This window comes from Homo sapiens, chromosome 1 (genome assembly GCF_000001405.40).
Source record: "Homo sapiens chromosome 1, GRCh38.p14 Primary Assembly".
Lineage (NCBI taxonomy): Eukaryota > Metazoa > Chordata > Mammalia > Primates > Hominidae > Homo > Homo sapiens.
Genome location: NC_000001.11, coordinates 63,688,518 through 63,711,477, shown reverse-complemented (window position 1 = coordinate 63,711,477; position 22,960 = coordinate 63,688,518). Strand labels below are relative to the sequence as shown.

At 43.4% G+C, this 22,960-nt stretch overlaps 1 long non-coding RNA gene across 2 annotated transcripts in view; it reads right to left on the bottom strand.

Moving 5' to 3' along the window:
• LOC105378771 (uncharacterized) overlaps nt 1-22,960 on the bottom strand; it is a 59,685-nt gene that overhangs the window by 16,575 nt on the left and 20,150 nt on the right. The window contains exon 1 of one of the 2 annotated variants that reach the window (XR_947456.2): nt 6,946-7,607. The exons of the other annotated variant lie outside the window; for it this stretch is intronic. This is a non-coding gene — a long non-coding RNA (uncharacterized LOC105378771). Of the gene's footprint in view, nt 1-6,945; nt 7,608-22,960 lie in introns of those variants that run through there. 2 annotated transcript variants of the gene reach the window in all.

Here is a 22,960-nt window from a genome sequence, read left to right as displayed (position 1 = left end):
AGTGTCTTACAAGCAATAGACAATAAATGGTGAGTTTTCGGGTACGCTGCTCTCTCAGAATGTAACTTCACAAGTACACTTCCAAGAATTGGCCTAGTGCATATAACTGCCCTTTGTAATAGCTATAGTGTATTCCATTGTGATACTGTGTCACAATCTGCCTGCCATTTCCCCAATACTGGGAATTTGGATTGTTTCCAGTTTTCCTTTCTTATGAATTGATCTGCTGTGAACATCTTTAGACAGATGGATTTTTTTCCCCCTTAAGTTATTTCCTTAGAGAAAATTCCCAGAAGTGGAATTACTGGGTCAAAGAGTAGGAACAGCTCTGTAGCCCTTGTTATTTATTGCCAGATGAATTCTCATTTTCTAAGAAGGCTGTCAGCTGGGAGAGCGCTGCATATGAGGTAGTTTCCATATACCACTGCTGTCTCTGCCATGAGCTCTACTGGAAGAACCATCCCCAGCCTCTGTCATTCTGTGGTTGGCACTAAGTTGTAGGAGGTAGGGACTAGAGAAGAAAGATAAAGACCTGGAATGTGTAGGGATGCAGGGCTGGGAGAAGGAAAATGGACAAAGCTCTGTGCATTTAGGGATTAGGGTCTGATATGACTAAGCACTTTGATCTAGAAGTAAATGATGCTGGGAGAAAAATCCTTCAAATAAGTTAATATTTATTGCTTTTGTTCTACATACATTTATGAGCACTTACCTAACATGTGCCAAGCACTAACATTTATATGATGTCTGAACCTGTCCCCCAACTCCTTTTGTAATTTGAGGAAGACAAGGGGGTTAAAGTCTAGCCCTGCTTAGGCTTCTCTTTGGCTAAGATACTGGAAGAGAGAAATCTTGCTTAAGAAACTATGAAGGCAAAATTGAGAATATGAGTAAAGCCGCAAACCAGAGGCAGATAATAAAACTGGTGGCGCAGACACAAATCAAGGACTACCCTGAGATGTGTGAACGAAAAAGTCAGGACAAGAGCGATGGGAATGTTTATGAGGTGAAGTGGAGACCTGGGGGAGATGATAAATCAAAGCAGTGTCCTGAAAGCTTTTACATGATGCTGTTCAAATCTCAAATATCTTTGCCAACATTGTTTTCTACTTGATCTAGCAATAACCAAGAAAGCTGTATTAAAATAGTGAAGGATTTGTTAATGCCTCTTCATAGATCAAACCGTTTTTGTTTCTATATTTTGAAGGTGTATTATTAGGTAAATATAAGTTTTCAACTGTTATGTTCCTAACAAATCGAAACTCTTACCATTATGTAGTGATTTTATCTTTTTAAATGCTTTTTTCCTCAAAGTCTGTTTTGTTTTGTTGGCCTGCTTTCTTTTGGTTAATATTTTCCTGACATATTTTTTCTAGGCTTTGACATTCAAACTTTTTTTGTCCTTGTATTTTATTTAGTTAGTCTCTTATAGAAAGGACATAGCTGGAGTTTGTTTCTATGCGGTATGAGGGTCTTGGTGCTTTAACAAGACAGCTTAATCCATTTTCCTTCTGTTTCTTTCTTGCTTGCTTTCTTTTCTTTCTTTCTCTTTATCTTTTTTTTTTTTTTTTTTTTTTTTGAGACAGAGTCTCGCTCTGTCCCCAGGCTGGAATGCAGTGGTGCAATCTTGGCCCACTGCAACCTCCACCTCCCGGGTTCAAGCAATCCTCCTGCCTCAGCTTCCCAAGTAGCTGGGACTACAGGCACGCACGGCCACACCCAGCTTATTATTATTATTATTGTATTTTCAGTAGAGACGAGGTTTCACCATGTTGGGCAGGATGGTCTCAATCTCTGGACCTCGTGATCCACCCGCCTCAGTCTTCAAAGTGCTAGGATTACAGGCGTGAGCCACCACGTTCCTTTCTTATTTCCTTTCTTTCTTTTTCTTCTTTCCTTCTTTCCTTCCTTCCTTCTTTTTCTTTCTTTCTTTCTTTCTTTTTCTTTCTTTCTTTCTTCTCTCTCTCCCTCCCCTCTTTCTTTCTTCCTTTCTTCTCCTTCCTTCCTTCTTTCCTCCCTCCCTTCCTTCCTTCCTTCTTGCTTTCTTTTTCTTTCAAGATGGGGTCTTGCTATATTGGCCAGGCTGATCTTGAATTCCTGAGCTATGGCAATTCTCCCACGTCAGCCTCCCAAGTAGTCAGAATTACAAGGGTACACCACTATGCCCAGAATTTTTTCCCCTTATTTTGATTACTGACTTATTTGGATTTATGTCTACTCTCTTATTTCTATTTATCCTTCTATTCATTCTGCCTTTCCTGTTTTACACCCACCCTTCCTACCTCCTTTGGATTGACTGCATTTTTTCTCTTCCCCATCCTAGTTCTTCCCCTACAAGTTTGGAATTAATTAATTAAAGTGCTATGTCATTCTTTTGGACAAAGTTTAAATAGTATTTTTTTCCCCAAACATACTATGACTTCAGGGTGCCTTAAATCTGATCTCCCACTCCTCTAAATTCACATGCTACTTTTGTCTATTCTAGGCTCTTTGCCCCCAACAGACACTAGACATTATTATCATTTCATAAATTAAACGTTTTCTTAAGTTTTATCTGTAAATTTGCCAAAATACACATTCACCATCTGTCCTTGCACCCTCCATCTATTCTGTCTGAGATATATTCCTTAACAAACATTTATTCAGTGTCTGTTGTTTGTAAACTTTGTATTTTTGTTTTTTTCTGAAACGTTCGTATTTTGCCCTTATTTTTGACTGGTTATTTTCCTGGGTATGAGATTCTAGGTTATTTTATGTCACTGCATTGACCATTTCATTTCACCCTTTTCTGGCTTCAATATTTTCTCTAGAGAAGTCAGCCCTCAGAAAAATTGCTGCTCTATTGAGAAAAGTTTTGCCTTTCTGACATTATCTTTTCCTTCTTCCCATCTCTAAATATCTTTTTTGATTTTCTGAAGTTTTGCCATGATTTGCCTATACATATATCTCCACATATATATTAATATATACATATTTTTTGATTATCCAGCTTGGAATTTATTGTTGTTTGGAACTGCAGGTTGCTTTGTATTGCCTCCCTGTTCTCCGGAACACAGACTCTGAGTAAAAGATTAGCATGCTGAAAACTCACTTGGGAGGGTTCTCAGAACTGCGATCTGCGGAAGAAGCAAAGGAATAGGACTGGGCACAGAGTGAAGCTGGGTGGTGACGCAGTCACACAAAAGCCCTCATCCCATTCCATAGAGAGCTCTGGTGTTTGAAGAGCCCTGAAGCATTGTTCCTAATTGGGGCAATGGGGCTGAGCTTTTATGACCACGCAGCAATGACCCATTATGCTCAGGGCTGCCCTTAAGGAAGGTGTGTGGCATTGAGCGAGGCAACTCTCTTCAGCTGAGGGCAGCCTCTGGGACTGGACTCAGCCATATGCTGTCAATGGTCAACACTCTTAGTAGCTGGGGGAATGAGTGCTTTGATCCTGGGGGTGGGGAGACAGAATTTGGCTGGGGCGCCACAACATCCATGCCAGTCCATGCCTCATGTTGCTCAGATCCACTCCTTTGGTGTGTGTCCTGAAAGCAGATCTTTTAGGATTCTAGTGGACCTCTTTTTCTAGAGAAACTTAAAAGAGGAAGGTTAATGCTGTAAACTAATGTGTTGCCTGCTGCACCTGATCCCAAGGACAAAACAGATACTCAGCATCTTCTTCGTCTCCTATCACTCCCCTCAGTCTCAGCTACTGCCTCTGCAGGTTTAGATAGCTTACCTGGTGAGGGTGCCCAGACCTTCATATCCGAGGGATTTGAAATCTTGTTCCTCTGCCCTTCTCAGGCAATGACTCCTACACTTACCTATTTATCATCAAAACTGGGCAAAAAGTATCAAGAAACACTCAAATGGATCACCTGGGTGCCAAACATATTCTTCCCTGCCCCCATTGTGTAACACCAGTGCTACCTCTTCCTGATGGTCAGGATCAATTACTCCTGCCAGGATCCTGAAGGGACTAGAGAGAAAGATGTGGCTTAACATTTAATGGGATTCTTGCTGTGTCCCTTGGTGGAAGCATTTTCCCCTCTGTGAGCCAACACTGCTAAGCCTCTAGAAACCAGGGCTGTGAAAATGAAGCACAAATTCCCCAAGTGAATAACTGAAAGTGATGATAAGGGGGCTATTCCTACACAAACCCCTTGGTTCCTAGACCTGCGTATTTGACCTACTGGGGACATTACACCATCTCCATAGCAGATTGGGCTTTTCTATCTTGCCACTTACTATGATAATTGTGCCAACCTTGCTTTTCACAGTTAAATCCTGAAATCTGGCCTCTATTTTTGAGATTTTATCATCCCTATTGTTATCGAGATCTTATCATTCCTATTGTTACTATGATAATTGCACCTCCCTTGCTTCTCATAGTTAAATGCTGAAACCTGGCCTCTATTTTTAATATCTAATCATCCCTACTGTTATTAGGAGCCCAAATCTCCCAGCATTAACTCTAGTCTATAGAGAGTGGCCATCACTGAGCTTCTCCGTGATGATGGTCTTTTTGTCAGTGTGTTGCTTATTGCATTGGCAAACGAAGTGTTTCCGGAGCCCACCTGCGCAAGAGTCTTCTGGTGGATTTACCAGCCTTACATACTTTATTCATTCTGGTATGCACAGTTCTCTGAGCCATTCAATCTCTCCTTTCAATGTCTTCCATAGTGACTCTGGTATTTCCACTTCACTTTTGTGGGTTATAGCCCTCTCCAGCCTTCTAAGAGTCACCAGGAGGTGCGCTAACACTGCCTCCCAGGGTCCTAGGCAGGGAGATTGCTGCCATACCTATAAACTCTCCCTCATCCACTTGTATGGTCGGTCTCCCCTTGATCCAGCACTCTCAGAGTCCAGGCCCACACATACTCTCCCAGCTTCTGTACTTGTGGGTTAGGTCCTACAGCTTCCCTGAAATCTAGTTTCTTTCTTCCCTGAATAGGCTCAGTACTTTCCTGGCAAGGATGTGTTTTGATTTAATTCTATCTTTTTTTGTCTGGTGGCCAAAAGGTGAGTAAAGAGGGAGGTCATGTGTTCACTTGAAGGGTAATGGTCTCTACATTGTCTACAAGCACAGGGGAAGCACTGGCCTCTAAGAGGGAGTGGGGGGCTACTTCTGCCAGCCCAAAGAATTCAGGGGAATCTGGACACTCAAGATTTTGAAGTGCATCAACTCAGATGTCCTCCTGCCATAACACAGGGTTCCATTTCTTCCCGGTTGGGACTCAACCTTGGTGGAATAGCCCCATCAGGGTCTAGAAGCTCTACTTCTCTTATAATTAAATCCTGGGCCTGATCCTCAGCTCTTTCTATTCCAGATCTCAGGAGATGAGAATTTCTTTCTATGCTGCTAAATATATACTCTCAGCCTTTCATTATCTTTCTCAAAAGCATCAATAACTCTCAGATACATCCATCCAACTTCATTCTCTTTATGACTCCATATTACCCAAACACCTGACCAACCACAATATTCCTTGCATGTATATACCTTTCCAGTTCACCATGATGGCAATTTTCACAACTGTACTGCTTTGTGCCAGGAGCCATCTCTATTCCATCTACCACCAATGACGGCGTTCTTACTGCCAGCTCAAAATGCAGCTTAAAATTTTCCCATTAATATTTACATTCTTGGCTACTCCAAGAACCAACTGCTGCAGGTCGGGTCTCCTGGGAAGCAGACTTGGAGATGGACATCAGCATATAGGAACTGGGGAGCATTCTTGGAATAAATACCTTGACAGACGTGAAGGAACAGAATTGGCTAGAGGAAGTTGGCGTGTTGAAGCAAAGGTCTCAGCTAATCCCAGGTGGAGCTTTGGAGCTTGGATGGACCTGCAGAGTAATCCTGACTTGGGGCAAAGAGGCTGGCTTGACTCCTCTGCATTCACTACTCATTGGAGGCAGACTGCCCTCAGGAAGGCATTGTGACTTCAGATGTGCTCAACTCCTCAAGAAAGTTTGAAGTCAAAGAGCAGAAGTAAAAGGGAGCCACAGGCTGAGGAAGCAGTATGAACAAGGAAATATTTCTTTAAATGAAAGAGACTTTAGTACTTTTTAGGCAAAAGGGAAGGGAGTTTTTCAGGCACTGGGAGGTCTATGGCCTGGCTATGCGTGGAGGCAGAGAAGGTGATAAAGAAGAGAAACATACACACTCGTGGCTTTGCTGAGAACTGGTGACACCGTGAGAGAAGCAGCCCTGCAAACGATGGGCCGCTCAGGACAAGAGTTCCGTGTACAAGTGCAGATGTGTGTGTTTAAAAGTTACTCATTAAACAACTGTGAGAAAGGAGAAGTATGCCTCCAACTCATACAGATGGGGAGATCTTGAAGGGAACCAGACCTGGAGAAGGATCTATGCTTTGAGAACAACTGCAATTAAAAAAGCCTGTTGATTTTATTTAATCAGTATTCCCCAAACTTCTATGACCACGAAAATTTTAATTTTAGGGGAATGCCTATTGACATATCTCAGAACATTCCTCAAAACACAGTTTAGAAAATGATAAGCCCAGTAATAACTTCAAGACCTTAATCAATCTCTTAATGGCCAATTTATAATCAGGACCAAAATGGAATGAAATAGAATGATTAAAAAAAAAAACAACCTTTCTTATTCAATGATGCTTCCATCTGGAGGACATTAACCAAATATCTACTATGTACTAAACCCTCTTCTGGGTCCTAAGGACACAGGGTTGACAAAGTCAAATGCCCTGTCCTCAAGGAGCTGGCCACCTGCAAGGGGACCCAGAGGATCTGTAAGTAAATAGTCTTATACCGAGCAGTAGGTTTCTTGGCAGGAAGGAAGTTGCCTGGTGACTAAGCCAGAGCCTATGTTTGTCCAGACATGGTCTGGACACCTGAGGAAGGAGGAAGGCAGGAACCAGGCATGGAGAGACGTAAGATTGTAAGGGGAGGCCAGGATTTGGGGTGAGGATTTACCTGGACTGACTCTGCCATTCCCGGTCATGCCATCTTGGCCCAGGCCAGTCTTTTCATCTCTCTGAGCTTCTGTCTCATTTGCAGAATGAGGATAGTAATCATTCACACCTCACAGGGTCTCCCTTAGGATTACACAGGAGAAAGCGATGTAAAAAAATTACACCAACAGTAAAGCACTCCACCAAGAGAGATCTCATGACTGACATTTCTTCACAAAGTATATTTCAAAGAAAGCTAAACAAACTCCCCCAAACTTTCCACTCTCAGGGCTATTTTTATTTTGTGATTTTCCAAGCCTCAAAATGAAATTGAAATGTAAAAAAACCATCAGCGGCTGCTTTTTATATGGTAGTTTATAAGAGTCAGGATGAAATAGAAATCATGATAGCACAAGGCCCCTATTTTATATTCTCAGAGGGAGGCTGAGAGCTGGGAGCGCTGATGACTTTGGGGAGGGCAGCTGAAATCACTAACGCCAGCCTGGCTCTAACCAGCCTGTGCAGTTTTAAGTGGTCTAATCAGCCCTGCTTTTCACAAACACAAATAAATAAAAATTGACATTACATCGGGCAACAATATGGCATGCCCTGTGCAATTAGAACCAGCTGAGTTTATGCACCCCACGGTTTACAGAGAAGGCAGCCATGCACTGCACTCTGGGGACAGATGTCTATGTGGCTTCTTAACACACATGTTCCAGCGCAACGGTTCCCAACCCCTTGGGGGTGGGGGGTGCAGAGTTCTTTCAGATGGCTCCACAGATGCATACGTTACAACAGCCATGTCAACAGACTGGTTAAATCCTGGCTCCCATATAGACGTGGGTAATTCTCAAGTGTGCCTCCATCTCCTGGAGGCTTTTGTTCCTTAGTTATTTTCTCAATTAACAGATACTAAAAGCACCAGAACCGTGACGTGGGGGTGAAGTCTTTTACGTTAAGAAACAGTTCTCATGCTCAAAGGGGTTGTATCCCATTGTTCTAATGTGACAAAACCCCAGAATGTATTAAAATCAAGTTTGAGAATGCTGTGGCCACATGGAGAAAAGGAACCACAGGGGTCTGAGAAAGAACAGCAGACGAAACCTGCTCTGGAAGCTCCACAGCTGGACCTGCTCTTGGAATCAAAAGATTCCTCTGCTCTATGATTTCTCTCACCCGGTCACCCATTCCCTGGTTCTCCAGCCTTGCCTCCCTCCAGAGAGGGGCTGTACACTCTGCAGAGGTGAGGAGTGACCTTGCTAAAGTACAAATCTGAATGTGACATTCCCAAGCTCCAGGAACTGCCCACTGCCCTGGGCACAAAGCCCAAACTATTTTTTTTTTTTTTTTTTTTTTTGAGACGGAGTCTGGCTCTGTAGCCCAGGCTGGAGTGCAATGGCACAGTCTCGGCTCACTGCAACCTCTGCCTCCCAGGTTCAAACGATTCTCTTGCCTCAGCGTCCCGAGTAGCTGGGACTACAGGCACGTGTCACCACACCCAGCTAATTTTTGTTTTTTTTGTTTTTTGTTTTTTTAGTAGAGACGGGGTTTCACCATGTGGGCCAGGCTGGTCTCGAACTCCTGACCTCAGGTGATCCACCTGCCTCAGCCTCCCAAAGTGCTGGGATTACAGGCATGAGCCATCGTGCCTGGCCAGCCCAAACTCTTTCAAGTGCTCACAAGGCTCTAGGCAACACCCAGCCCACCCCCTCTCCTCTCTAATTTCATCTCCTGCCTCCCTCTCCCACTCCAGCCCCCCTGCTCTCTGCCTTCTTTGAATCCATCCACCCCCAGCCTGGCCTCTGCATTTACACACACGTATACCTTCAGCCCGGAACACTTTCTCCCTCCTCACCTTTGCCTGAATAACTTCAGCTCTCTGAAGTTATTATCTGAAATTATCTGAATAATTTCAGATCTTGTTTTAGAAGCCACATATTATACCTTGGAAAGGTTTGCCAGAGTTTTCGCCAAGACTGAGATTGGAAGGAGGTGCCCCTCCTGTGGCTACAGCTTCCTGTAATAGTTTCACGGGAGCATGAACTAGGGCTGATTCCCTAACCATTTCTCCATCGCCAGACCTTAAGCTTCACGAGGGCCAGGCTGAGCTCTGTTGGCTGACATATCCCTCTGGAAGGAGCTCAATATGCAGCTGCTGAGTGAATGTGTTCAGTGAGCATCTTTCCCACTGTGTGATCTGATGAGTGATGTTTTAGACAGAGGAACCTCTAGGCACTGCCCACCGCATCACCCCACATAGCCAAACACTTATCCTGAAAGCACAGATTGTTTTCGGCACAGGTACTAGTTGTTGTTGAAGAACACAGCAAAGGCCCTCAGGAAGTTCTGGCATTGGTTACAAGTGCTTAGAGAAAGACATGCTTGAATTGAGAGTAAAAACAAGAGAGAAAAGAGTTAACTCAATGGAAAAGATAGAAGAAGAAAGAGACAGGAAAGCACTCACAACTTCTTCCCCGCCCTCTCACGTCTGAACCATTTCCTGACCAGAAAACTATTTCTTAATTTTTACTTTTAATTATTTTATTATTTCTTATTTCTGTGGGTACATAGTAGGTGCATATATTTATGAGGTACATGAGATACTTCAATACAGGCATGCAATGTTTAATAATCACGTCATGGAAAAGGGGGTATCCATCCCCCCAAGTATTTATGTCTTGTGTTAAGATGCCTGGGTTCTGGTTATGACCTCCTCTCTAACTAGTTGGGGACCCTGGGCAAGTCACTTAACCTCTCTGAACTTCAGTTTCCTCATCTGTGTACTCTTTTTGTTATTTCTTTTTGTTATTTCTAAATGTTCTCTTTTTTGTTATTTATACTCTTTTTGTTATTTCTAAATGTTCAATGAAATTATTATTGACTATAGTCACCCTGTCGTACTATCAAATACTAGGTCTTATTATTCTTTCTAACTATTTTTATTTTGATACAAGTCTTTCAGGTCTGTCTTAAAGTCATAGGATGTTAAGGGCTAAAAAGGCCCAGAGAGAGCAGTAAGTTGCCCAAATTTGCCCAACTAGAGAGGGGCAGAATTCAAATGAGAACCCGGGTTTCTGATGCCAAGCTGCCTCCTCTCTGCAGAACGCCGTGGTGCTTAGGCCCACGTGCACACTTCTCTGGAGAGATCGTGCCAAGCCCCAGAAGTAGCATGTGTGCCCTTCAGCCTGAGACTGCCTTGGTAAATACATATTGCTTCCTGGCTTGCAAAGCAAATATTTACTCAAAACCCACATAGCACGGTGCATAAGTTCCTGACATCCCCAGGCAGTTTCTAACTCACTTATCATTTATTTTAAATTTGTTTTTTAGTGCATGTATTTTCTGCATTAGACTTGGAATAAACAGAGTTCAGAGTAGACGCTGGACAAACCGAAAAGTGGTTTGTACTAAAAAGCACTAGTCTCTGCCTATCACCTCTAAATTCCAATTTCTGAGAAGTCTGTGAGCAGAATCAATCAAGCTTAAATGGAGTCAGTGCTCCATTTAAAGGCAGTCTTTAAGGCAACACAACATGGTGTCCTTTGGGAAATGGGCTGAAGAATTAAGGAGTCACAAATGGCTCACATCATTTGCATAATATTGAGATTCAGGATATCTGGGTTCTGGTTATGACCTTCTCTCTAACTAGTTAGTGACCCTGGGCAAGTCACTTAACCTCTCTGAATTTCAGTTTCCTCATCTGTGTAAAGTGATTAATGATAGCTTTCTACCTAATTCACTATATATATGGACAACAGGCCAAATTGAAGGTCAAGTCCCACATCTATTGACCAAGTATTAAAGGCCTACTAGGGGCCTGGCTGTTTTATGAACTGAGCAGACGGCAGTGAAAAAAATGAAAATGAAAACCTGTCTTCATGGAGCTTGATTTTGTAGGAGACAGACAGATGGTAAATAAAAAATAAGTAGTAATGGGTCTGAAGCTAAGTTGTAAGAAGAAAAATCACCATGATAAGGGAATAGTAGTTTGTGGGGGGTGCCGTTTTATGAAGGATGGCCAGTGAGATGCTCTCTGATGAGTCCTGAAGGAGATGGAGGAAGAAAGAGTTCCCAGGCAAGAGGAGGAGTGGAAGCAGAGGCTCCAGGGGTAATGCTTAGGGTGTTCAAGTTGGGAAGACCACGGTGGCTGGTGCAGAGTGAGTGGAGAAGGATGGAGATGGAGTCAAGAAGGATGGATGGGCTGGGAGTGGTGGCTCACGCCTGTAATCCCAGCACTTGGGAGGCCGAAGCAGGCAGATCATTTGAGGTCAGGAGTTCAAGAGCAGCCTGGCCAACATGGTGGAACCCCATCTCTACTAAAACTACAAAAATCAGCCAGGTGTGCCGGCACATGCCTATAATCCCTGCTACTTGGGAGATGAAGGCAGGAGAATCTCTTGAGCTCAGGAGGTGGAGGATGCAGTGAGCCGAGATCATACCACTGTACTCCAGCCTGGGCAACAGAGCGAGACTCTGTCTCAAAAAACAGAAACAAAAAAAAAGAAGGAAGGATAGAGTTCCTAAAATGTAGTGTGCAGATGTGCACAAGCATCCCTGGATGTCCTGGGAAAGGTGATCTAGAGATCCCCCATTGTCATAAACACTGGCCTGGAGTCTTGCCTGTCCAAAGAGTTCCCTAGACCACAATAAACACCACTCCAACTTGACTCGAGAATGTGGAAGGCTCCCTGGTTGACCACGAACATATACCCATCCACATCAGCTCAGCACATATAAATTACATGGTAGAAGTTTTGTCAGACTTTTAGTCCTTCTTTAGTTTAAACTACTATGCTTTAGAATATTTCCTCTGCAGAGCTGGAGAACATTAATTTGGACATTGTTAGAAAGAGACATGAAGGAGAGGGCAGGCCAGCCACAGCTGCCTTCATTCATGAGCAGCCTTTAGTTCTTTACGTGAAGTCTGACAGAGGTTCCCAGCCTTGATCCATACCTGCCAGTACCTTGCCTGCCTGCACGGTGCTATTTCCAAGAATAAGTATGCTGGGCATGAGTCTTGATCATAACCTGAGAATGAAGCCTCACCCCCTGTGTCTCTACAAGCCTGAATGATCTCAGAATGATCATAGCCTGAGAACTCCTGCCAGGCAGGTTGGAGCCATCAGCAGGCCCACATGGGCCAGGGAAGCAAGGCAGGATCCCACGTCTGGTGGGCAGGCAGTTAAGGTGGGCACTGCAGAAGTGATGGCACATGCCTATCCAAGGCTCCACTGTGACAAGGGGAGGCCTAAGCCTGGTCCGGAGAGCGCTAAGCCAGGCTTGAGGCGAAGGGAATCAAACTTGTATATTACGTACCTACTGCTTTCTGGGCATTTGGTTAGGCTTTTTTCATGCACAATCTCATTAAATAAATCTTCACTAACCTGCAAAATAGTATCACTGTTCTATAGAAGAGGATACCGAAGCCCAGAGAGGTTGAATGAATTGCCCATGGCCACATAGCTACTAGGTGGTAACTGGGGACTTAGAACCTACTGACTCCAAAGCCTGGACTTTAAATTGCTTTGAAATGAGTTGCCTTATCATGAGATGGGACACAGTCCTGCCTGGAGCTGGGTAGTTGAGGAAATTCATCCTTCTTGTCATATCAGGAGGCTGGAGAGATGGCCACATTTTCCAGATGACTTGGGGTTTAGGCGGGGGGGTCCATGTTCCTTGAGGGCTCCATGGATCTGCCCTTTGAATGGGATGCCTGTTTCCTTTGCCATCAGAACTCTTATCCTTAAGGGCCCAGCTGCCTTCTGCAGTCTGGGCAGGACTCCTGGCACTAGGAGACCCTACTCGCTTCCCATCCACCCAACGCCTTGCTATCCAGCACTGCCTCTACTGCCCCACACCAGGCTGAGTGAGTCAGAGATGTCGGCCTCAGCCCCTGTGTCTCCACGGGCCTGAAACACTGACTTGTGTTAGAACTGCCTGCTTCTGCTTCCCTCTCCTTCTTCAGCTTGTTGGCACTCACTCTCATTCAGAGGCACCCTGGCTCATGAAATATCATCTACAAATATGGGAATCTCTGCACCAGCCGCACATTGTTGATGGCTCTGGAGTTGTTTATAAAAATATCCTTGGCATTCCCTGCCCGACGCGGTTTCGCATCATGCTGCACTTGCAGGCGAGCTTCGCCAGCCTGATAAAGAGCCCTTTATTTGACCTTTAGGAAAGTTATGACTCACATCACCAGCTTTCCTTCCCCTTCTAGAGTGTATGTTATCCATAAAAAGGGTCATTATAAAGGTGTTGGAGAAGATTAACCCTAGTCCTGGGTTTTAAACTTTATCTGTAGGACACAGTCGAATCAGTGGTACCTTGTGACCCTAGGAACTAGTTAGCTTAAATGGGGACTTGTTAGCTCAGTCAGTAACATGTCCATTCATCTTCGGACTTGCTAGTTTAGCAAGGGGCTGTATGGTTCAGGGAGGATCTGGTTAGCCAAATCATGGGCTGGTTATCTCATATTTGGATTGGAAATTGTAGTTGGTTAATGTACTTGTAGAATCATTAACTCAAACTGGTTATAGTGCTGGGCTTTTAAAGAAAAACTCTGATATTTCTTTCCCTGAGAGGAAGGCAGTATAATTCTGCCAGAGGCACTAACTACAGACTTCAGGACTAACCCCAGCTAGCAAACATACAAGTGCAAAGAGTATGAATGGATCACTGCAGTATATCAGCATCATAGGAAGACCAGCTCTAAGCATAAGCCCAACCTTTAGCTCATATCTAGGACATTAGGTCTATGTTGTCTTTGAACCTCAAGCAGGGTACCAGTAGAGAGAATAGTGAGGACCAAATGAGATCATGTTCACCTACGTACTTATTCAGTGATGTTTCTGAGTATCCACTATTGCCCAGACGTTGTGCAAGGCACTGGGCACTGAGGACACAGACAAGATGGAATTGTGCACACTGTTTGAGGATGCCTCCTAGCCTCCCTTGCAGTTAAGATTCGTCATGTGACTGAAGTTTGGCCAATAAAACATAAGCAAAAGTGATGTGCAACACCTCCAGGAGTGGCCTATAAAATCTCCTACACAATCCTCCATGTTTTCTTTCTTCCTGCTTTTGCCAACAGATGAAGAAGGTTCAGAAAAGGACTTTGAGGCCCCACAAAATGAGGGAGCCATAAAATGGATGGATCCTGGATCCTTATCACTGCATGGAGCAGAGGCTCCTGCCAACCCTACGTTGTCTGGACTTGATATGAAAAGAAATAAATTTTCATTATGGGAAGCCACTAAAACTTAGGGATTTTTTGTTGCAGCATTTAACCTGTCCTGACCAATGCACGGCCCTTCACCTTTTGGTCCCTGCACTCTCCGCAGACCTTACATTTTTCTGTTCCAAGAAAGACCATCAGAGAGTCCTTCATCTTCCTTCTGCTGCATCCTTGACTTGTCTATTTGTCTTCTCCCTTGCATTCTCCATCCCCACCATCCACCAGGATGAATCCATCCACCTGGGTCCTTGACCTCATCCTTCTATCGCTTTGTATTCTGTTGACTGTACTCTGCCTAAAAAAAATACATTCAACTTTCTTCTCTCCTTAAATACAAGATAGTCCCATTCAGTGTTTGAGTAGCTGAGATAAATCATCCTCCTTATCATCCCAGGAGTCTGGAGAGATGGAGAGATACCCAGATTCCACAGATAGATATGGGGTTCAGGCAGGGGTCCATGTCTCCCTGGAGCTCCCTTGATCTGGCCCTTTGAAGGGGATACCTATTACCTAAAATAAAGCATGTGGATAAAATTTTAAAAAAAGAAATAAAGTATGTGGAAGGTGTTTATCAATTTGAATCCTCCTAAAGCAACTGACCTATTTGCCTCTGACCCTTCGTGTCTTAGTCTGGTTGGGATTCTATAAAAAATATCATAACCAAGTAGCTTATAAACAACAAGAATTTATTTCTTACAGTTCTGGAGGCTGAAAAAGTCCAAGATCAAGGCAGATTCAGTATCTGGTAGGGGCCCAATTTTCGGCTCATAGACAGCACCTTCCACATGGCAGAAGGGGCAAAAGGTCTGTCTCAGGCTTCTTTTTTTTTTTTTTTTTTTTTTTTAAGATGGAGTTTTGCTCTTTCACCCATGCTGGAGTGAAGTGGTGCTATCTCAGCTCACTGCAACCTCTGCTTCCCCAGGTTCAAGTGATTCGCCTGCCTCAGCCTCCCGAGTAGCTGGGATTACAGGCATAAGCTACTACGCCCAGCCTCAGGCTTCTTTTATGAGGGCACTAATTTCATCCATGAGGGTTCCAACCTCATGACCCAATCACTCCCAAATGCCCCACCTCCTAATACCATCACCTTAGGGTTGGGGATGTCAACATATGAATTTGGGGGCACAGAAACAAGCACTTCACAAGTTAATTTCTGATGAATAGGTCAGAGTTACTCTTTCTGCCTTACCACTCATTGACACCTTAGCCCACAGCAATCTGGCTTCCTCTCCCACTGCTGTCATGATACTTCTCATTCAAAGATCATTAGTGATCTCTAACTGTCAGCTCCAAGGGACTGTTCGCAGGCTTTTTCCAGCTTAATCTTTCAGAAGTTCCTGACACCTGACCAGCCTCTCCTCTAACTCACCCTTGCACAATGTTTTCAGCCCTTCTCTCTCCTGGTTCTTTCTGCTGCCTCTAAATGGAGGAGTGCCCCCATATTCTGCTCTCAGCCAACTCTTTTCTCTCTAAATTTGCTTATTTGGCAAATAGGGCTATTATTGCTACAGATAATAAAAACTAGCGTCTATGGAATATGTATCTGAGACAAGTGCCAAGCATACCACATGCATTATCCTGCCTAACCCTAACAAAAACTCTGTGAGGTTAGTGGTGTCATAATCTCATTATAAAGATGAGAAAGGCTAGGCAAAAAGCAAGGTTAAGTAAGTTGTGCAATGCCACATGGCTGGCATGGGTTGGAGCTAGACAAGGCCAGTGCCTGCCCATAGCATGCCCTTTTTCAAATATGAAATCACCATTCTCGTCCACTTCCAAAAAGGGCACCCTATGGGCAGGCACCGGCTTTCCTCTGGGCAGGTGCAGCCCCATTTCAGAGTACTTGGTTTGGTAAGCACAGGGAGCATTTAGCCCCACTCATCTCCTTAACCAAGCTCCCTACTGCAAGGCACAAAGTACAAGAGTGTACAAGGCACTCATGGAGCCAGAATTCAAACCCTGGCCTCTCTAACTCCAGAGACACCGTGTCTCACCAATCCCCTATGCCCCTACCTCACAGCATGTTGTGAGGATTAAAACTAAACAGATCATGAATGTAGAGCACTTGGCTCAGAATTTGATGTGTAAGAAGTACGTGATATAAAATAGTCACTATTATTGTCATATTATTCATATCACCATTCCCATCCACTTCTAAAGCTTCAACAAACTCATTCATCAAATGTTTAATTATTGCTCATGTGCCAAGCAGTACGCCAGGTGCTGAGGTTTCAAAGATGAATAAAACACTGTCACTGCCTCATTGTATTGAAAATCTAGCAGGAAAGAAAGCCACACAAACAATGAACTGAAAAAGTGCCAAGCACAGTAACCAGAGGTGATACAAAGTGCTGTGTGAGCACAGAGAAAGCATTACACCAGTCTGGGTTAGGGACAAGGACCAAGCAGATTTTATGACGGCTTCAGAAGGGAAGGAAAATTTTAAAGGAGTCTGGATCGTTAGATGCTGGCTAGTCTAGATGACTTGGAGGGACAATCTAGAGAGAGGAAACTGCAGGAACAAAAGCAAGGCATGGCAATAGGGAAGGACATGGTTATGTGGCCTGGAGTTTGCACTTGTCAACCAGAAGTCATTGAAAGTATCTAAGCAGGGCTGGGATGCAGTCAGATCTTGGTTTTAGAAAGCCCTGGCATCTATAACAGTGTTTGCACATAGTAGGAGCTTAGTAAATGTTTAGAAAAATGGATGAATGAATGAATGGCTTGAAGGAAACCTAGCCTCCATGGTATAAGCACTGAAGACATTCACACATCAATTTTAAAGTCCTCTGGGGTTGCATAAACATGTGTGCTCACACTGTACTGTGGGAACAAACTTGTATTTACAGAATGTTAGCACTGAAAGAGTCCCTGATGAGGAACCACTCCTGTCTAACTCTACCAACCCAGAAGCTGAGGCCCAGAGAGGGAAGTGGCTTGTTGAAGTGATTCATCTCATGACCCAGTCTCAATTTTGGCTGCTGCAAGTGTGACCATCCATAAGTCTAATGGCCTTTCTAAGTTTCTGATTTGATGAGGTGCTTGCTTTAGGGATTCTGTTTTTTCTCGAACACACATCTTTCATATTTCTATCTCCATAACTTGCTTATATGCCTGGGCCCCTGCTAGAATGCCTGCATCTGTATTCTTTCCAAAGATGATTCATCCTTCAAGCCTCTTTTCCTCCAAGAAGCCTCCCCTGACTACCCTGGCATAAGCGGTCTTTACTTTCACTAGCAGCAGTTCTTGAATACTTATTGTATGCTAAGAACTGTGCTTGGCAATTTACATTCATGCATTATTTATATGTAATAAATGTAAAATGTGTTTACATTTATTACTTAATCTTTACAAGAGGCCTATTAAATGTGGGCTATTGTTATCCCCAGTTTACAGAAAAGGGAATGAAATCCCCATCAATATAAGAGCTAGTCGTGTACTACACAGTGGGTTAAATTCTTTCCATGGATTATCTAGATTATCCTCACAACAACCCCATTAAGTTGGTACTGTTACTATCATTTTCACTGAACTGACAAGAAACCTGAGTCTCAGAATGGTGAACTTATTCAGATTCTCACAGAGATTAGGTCATGCATCCAGGATCAAACCCAGCCCCACTGGCTTCCCAGTGAGGATGATGACTTGCCCAGGGTCATCCCCAAGCACAGGTGGTACCCCCTGATCTGAAAGCCCATGCTTCACCCCCTGCTCTAGACAGCCTTCCATCACCCAACTGTCCATCCAAACCACCACTCACTTGGTTCTTTTTCTTGGTGGTTTTTTGTTTTTTGTTTTTGAGGCAGAGTCTCGCTGTGTCACTCAGGCTGGAGTGCAGTAGCAGGATCTCTGCTCACTGCAACCTCTGCCTCCCAGGTTCAAGCAATTCTCCTGCCTCAGCCTCCCGAGTAGCTGGGATTGACAGGCACCCACCACCATGCCTGGCTAATTTTTGTATTTTTAGTAGAGATGGGGCTTTGCCATGTTGGCGAGGCTGGTCTCGAACTTCAGACCTCAAGCGATCCACCTGCCTCGGCCTCCCAAAGTGCTGGGACTACAGGTGTAAGTCACCATGCCTGGCCCTCATATTATTTCATTAATGAATTATTCTTTACCCTTTAGATGGTATTTATTCATTTGTGTGTTGATTCATTGACTCTGTAAATATGCTTAGAACTTATGCTAAATGCCAGCTCTTTGAAAAGGTGTTTGATGAACAAGTCAACATGGTCTCTGGTCTCACAGAGTTTGCAATATGTTGGAGTGCCTTTTAAGTGGCAATCCTCATATTATTTATCTCTTTTTTTTTTTTTTTTTTTTGAGTCAGTCTCAGTCCATCACCATATTGGCCAGGCTGGTCTTGAACTCCTGACCTCAAGTGATCCACCAACCTTGGCTTCCCAAAGTGCTGGGATTACAGGTGTGAGCCACCGCGCCAGGCCCTTTACTTGTTATTAAATAGCATGTTTGTTCCTATGTTTTTCTTCTCTAGCTGGATCACAATTTCCTTCTGAACAGAAAACGTGCCTTTGAAACCTCGGTATCCCAACACATGAGTGCTTATGCAGTATTGATTAATTGGTTGATTAATAAGATGACTCAACTACAGAATTAATTTTGCATTTTTTTTTTTAGTATGGAGGTGTTTGTATAAACCAGCAGCCCAAAGGTACATTGCAGAAATGGTGATTGCAAATCCCATTTACTTTTCATACCTTATAAAGTACAGCCCAAAATAAAAATGTCATGTGCTTAAAAGAAAAAAAAAATTGAAATTCATATCTCTCTTGAAGGATTACCTTTTTTAAACACCCCTGAGTCCCTAGAATGCCACCAAGTAGTTGCTCTATAAATACTGTTAATCAATTGGTGCATAGAGACACATTATATCTTAACAGTGAGGAATATTTTTGTTAGGTTTTTGGTCCCCTAGACTTTTATTGTAGCTTAAGTCCCATTGATTTTACACTGGACCTGATTTCTTTATGTGAATTTCCTTCCTCAATAACATAAGGGCCTACTCCCTGAGAACAGATTGTAAAGTTTTGAAATAGCTTTGTACAAGGAAAAAAAAAAAAAGCAAGCAAGCAAGAAAGAAAAGATTTTACTGCCAGACTATTTTTCCAGCTCTTACATCAGAAGTCAGATGTTGCCTGTTGGTTTCCTTCGCTAAGGACCAGCTTTAATCCATCGTGTTGTCGCCTTCTACTGGTGACAAATGGAAGGTGACTTGTTCTATAAGGCTAGGGCGTGGAAGCTTTTTGCCTTTAAAATATTCAGCTGCTTTTGTAGCTAAGAACATTTTGTTTTCAACAGTAAATCTACCAGCCGGTGGCAGGCTCGATTTACTCACCTAAATAAAAATCTTTCCCCAATTCTCAGGGCCCTCCAGGACTAATTTTACAGCAACTCTTACTTTCATTGTATCATATTCATATCCTACAATTTCACTCCATCAGAGCTTCTCCTAAGGAACTCTATTTTTCATCATTGTTTCCTCTGCACCTAGCACAGGTCTGGAGACAGAGTAGTTACACAATAAATGTTCATTGAATACATGTATGTGGAAATTAATTAAAGCATGAAAGGAAGGGAGCTCCAGAGGGAGATTTTCTTTTAATTTTTTTTTTTGTTTGAGACGAGGTCTCACTATGTTGCCCAAGCTGGTCTCAAACTCCTGAGCTCAAGCAATCCATCCGCCTTGGCCTCCCAGACAAACTGCTAGGATTACAGGCATGAACCACCGCGCCTGGCTAAGAGAGGGAGATTTTCTATATGTCTCTCAGCTGGTGGCAAGCTGCAGAAAGCCACATTTGGTTTCGTCATCAAGAAGTGCTTCAAAATTTTCATCAGCAGATTCTAAAATCAGGGTAAAAACTATTTTTTCCCTTTTCCTCTTTTTCCTGTAGCTGAGCAGAATTAAATGCCTGACATTGTTTAAATCAAGGTCATTAGGCTCTCAGACTCTCAGGCTGTGCTTTTCACTTTTTTCTTTGAGGTTCTTGGTAATTGCAGGGCAGCTGAGTTTTTTTTTTTTTTTTTCTAGAAGGCAGAATCAAAGAAACTAGTCAGCATAGCTGTGATGGACATTTGCAGGTTGTACTGTCTAGCATCAATCTTCCTTTCCATTAGGGGAACACCTGTTGTGGGTAGCTTGAAGGGACAGTGCCCTGCCTCCTTCTCCTGGTCTCCTGGCAGCCACGAACCTGGCATGTAAGCCAACATCAGCCAGTTGAATACTCTTTGACTCATGAGGGGATGGTGAAACTTGAAAGGTCATTACAGTTATTTTATAGTAGCAGTTGTGGGGGTGAAGGGCACAGACCCAGGGATAAGCTTGGCTGGAGAGTCCATGCTTCCATCAGGAGGCCATGCCCCAGACATAGCACCTTCCAGGCAGTGAAAGTTGGGGCTCCAGCATCTCCAAGCGTCTTGGCCCTCTGGAGTTGTCTTGTGTAATGGTTAATATTGTAATATTGTAATGGTTAATATTGAGTGTCAACTTGATTGGATTGAAGGATGCCGAGTACTGTTCCTAGGTGTGTCTGTGACGGTGTTGCCAAAGGAGATTAACATTTGAGTCAGTGGACTGGGAAGGTCAGACCCACCTTAATCTGGGTGGCAAAATCTAATCAGCTGCCAGCGCAGCCAGAATAAAAGCAGGCAAAAGAACATGGAAAGAGTAGACTGGTTTAGTCTTCTGGCCTACATCCTTCTCCTGCACTGAATGCTTCCTGCCCTCAAACATTGGACTCCAAGTTCTTCACCTTTGGGACTCAGACTGGTGTCCTTGCTCCTCTGCCTGCAGATGGTCTATTGTGAGACCTCACCTTGTGATTGTGTGAGTCAATACTCCTTAATAAACTCTCCTTTATATATACATCTATCCTATTAGTTCTGTCCCTCTACGGAACCCTGACTAATACACCTTGGCTCTAGCCTCTGTTCCAAACATGGTCTTCCAGACTTTCTGGAAATTTTGTGAGCCCACATTGGAAGATTTTCCAATTAATTACCCTTTTGACTCAACTAAACCAAAATCAGTTTCTGCTACTTGCATTACTTGCATCTGAAAAAAATTTAATGAATTTATAATGAGCAAAGGAAAAGAGAAGTCAAAAAAAAAGAGAAAGAGAAAAAGAATGAAAAAAGGAAGGAAGAAAGGAAGGAAGGGAGGGAGGGAGATGAAAGAGAAAGATCCTGGAGTCTTCTGGTTGGCAAATGTGTGCCTATCATATGCTCAATGTATAGTAGGCACTAAAGTTGGATCAAAGAAAAGTTCCTTTATGAAAAACATTAACATATTACAGGATGCTTGTTTGGTAGTCTCCTTACCTGATCCCCATCTCAGCTCTAGAGTTGAGTCAGATAAACTCAAATCACCTACTCAAAGCATGTGGTCCATCCAGCAGGAACCACCTGTGAACTTGGAGAAATGCTGAATCTCAAATGGTCCCCAGACTTACTGAATCGGAATCTGCACTTACACAAGGTCCCCAGTGCACATTACAGTTTGAGAAACACCGTCTGTGAGACCATAATTACGTTGCTTACTCTCTCATGTCTCAGAGTTTTCATCTGTACAATGTAAAAAATAATAAGACCTAATTCATGTATACGGTAGAAGCATATGAAATTGTAAGTATTAAACCAGTTTGACCTATTCTAACCTACTACTTGTTTTTAGGATTCAATCAAACTTTCCATAGAAAGTGCTTATCACAGTGCCTGGCACAAAGGTAAAATCGGAAAGCCTGGGATGTGGAGAAATGCCTGCACATGGGTGCCCTGCTATTGTGTGTTGGGTTACCTCTCCAGCCTTCACTGTGGCCATTCTAAAATGGGTGCTGTTGTGGATTCATTCATTTAGTGGAAAAATACAGGCTGCCTGTTGTGGCCAGGCACTGTGCTAGGGGCTGGTGATACCGCAGGGTGGCAGAGCTGCTATGCCCCCTCAGGTCTTCTCATTTTGCGGTTAACTGGCCCAACAGACTCTCAGCACCCATATGTCTTTGCTTTAAGGCCTTTCTTTTTTTAAATGGAGGAAACCTGCCATACCCATGTACAAGACAGAATAGACAAGTCTTAGAATTAACACCCCCAGGGCAGCTCTAGCTCCCCCACTCCTCAGGCAGGTAAACTCTAAGGCAGGTATTTGACATTAGCTCCCAGTGTGTCCCCAGTGGAGTTAAGCTCCAGCTTCCCAGATGGTAAGGTGATTTAAAAAATTCATTCTTCACTGGTCTCCTTCCCTACCCTGCCTCGCCTCCCTACTCCCCTACAAGAGTTGCCTGAGACCACTTCCTAAATAAACCATTTGCACTAGAATCTTAGTCTTGGAGCCTGTCTGTGAGGAAGCCCCCCTCAAGATGAGCTACATCCCTGCCCTCAGAGGCACACCCTGGCTCCAATCATTTGCTGTGCTATCAGATATTATTTTTGAATTATTTACTTAACAGCTATTAAGTGGGGCTGGGGATTTCCTATGAACAAATGTCATAAGTAAATGCTGATTTCCTATGAATAAATACTGTTTACAGAAATGACCCAATTACTACTTCTTGTTTACTGGCCAAAGCAGAATCTATGTTCAGGAAAATTTGACAATATTTCCACCCTTTCTAGAGTTCTGGTTCCCTCTTGGGTTTTCCTTGCTGACTTCCTAAAGTGGACTTCTTAAAAAGGCACTTTAAAAGGTTTTGAAAATTAGAAAGTTCCCGGCAAATAGCACGAACTATGCATTCATCCTGTGGTTTTTAGAACTTCAGCAGATTATGCATGAGTCCCACACATAAGA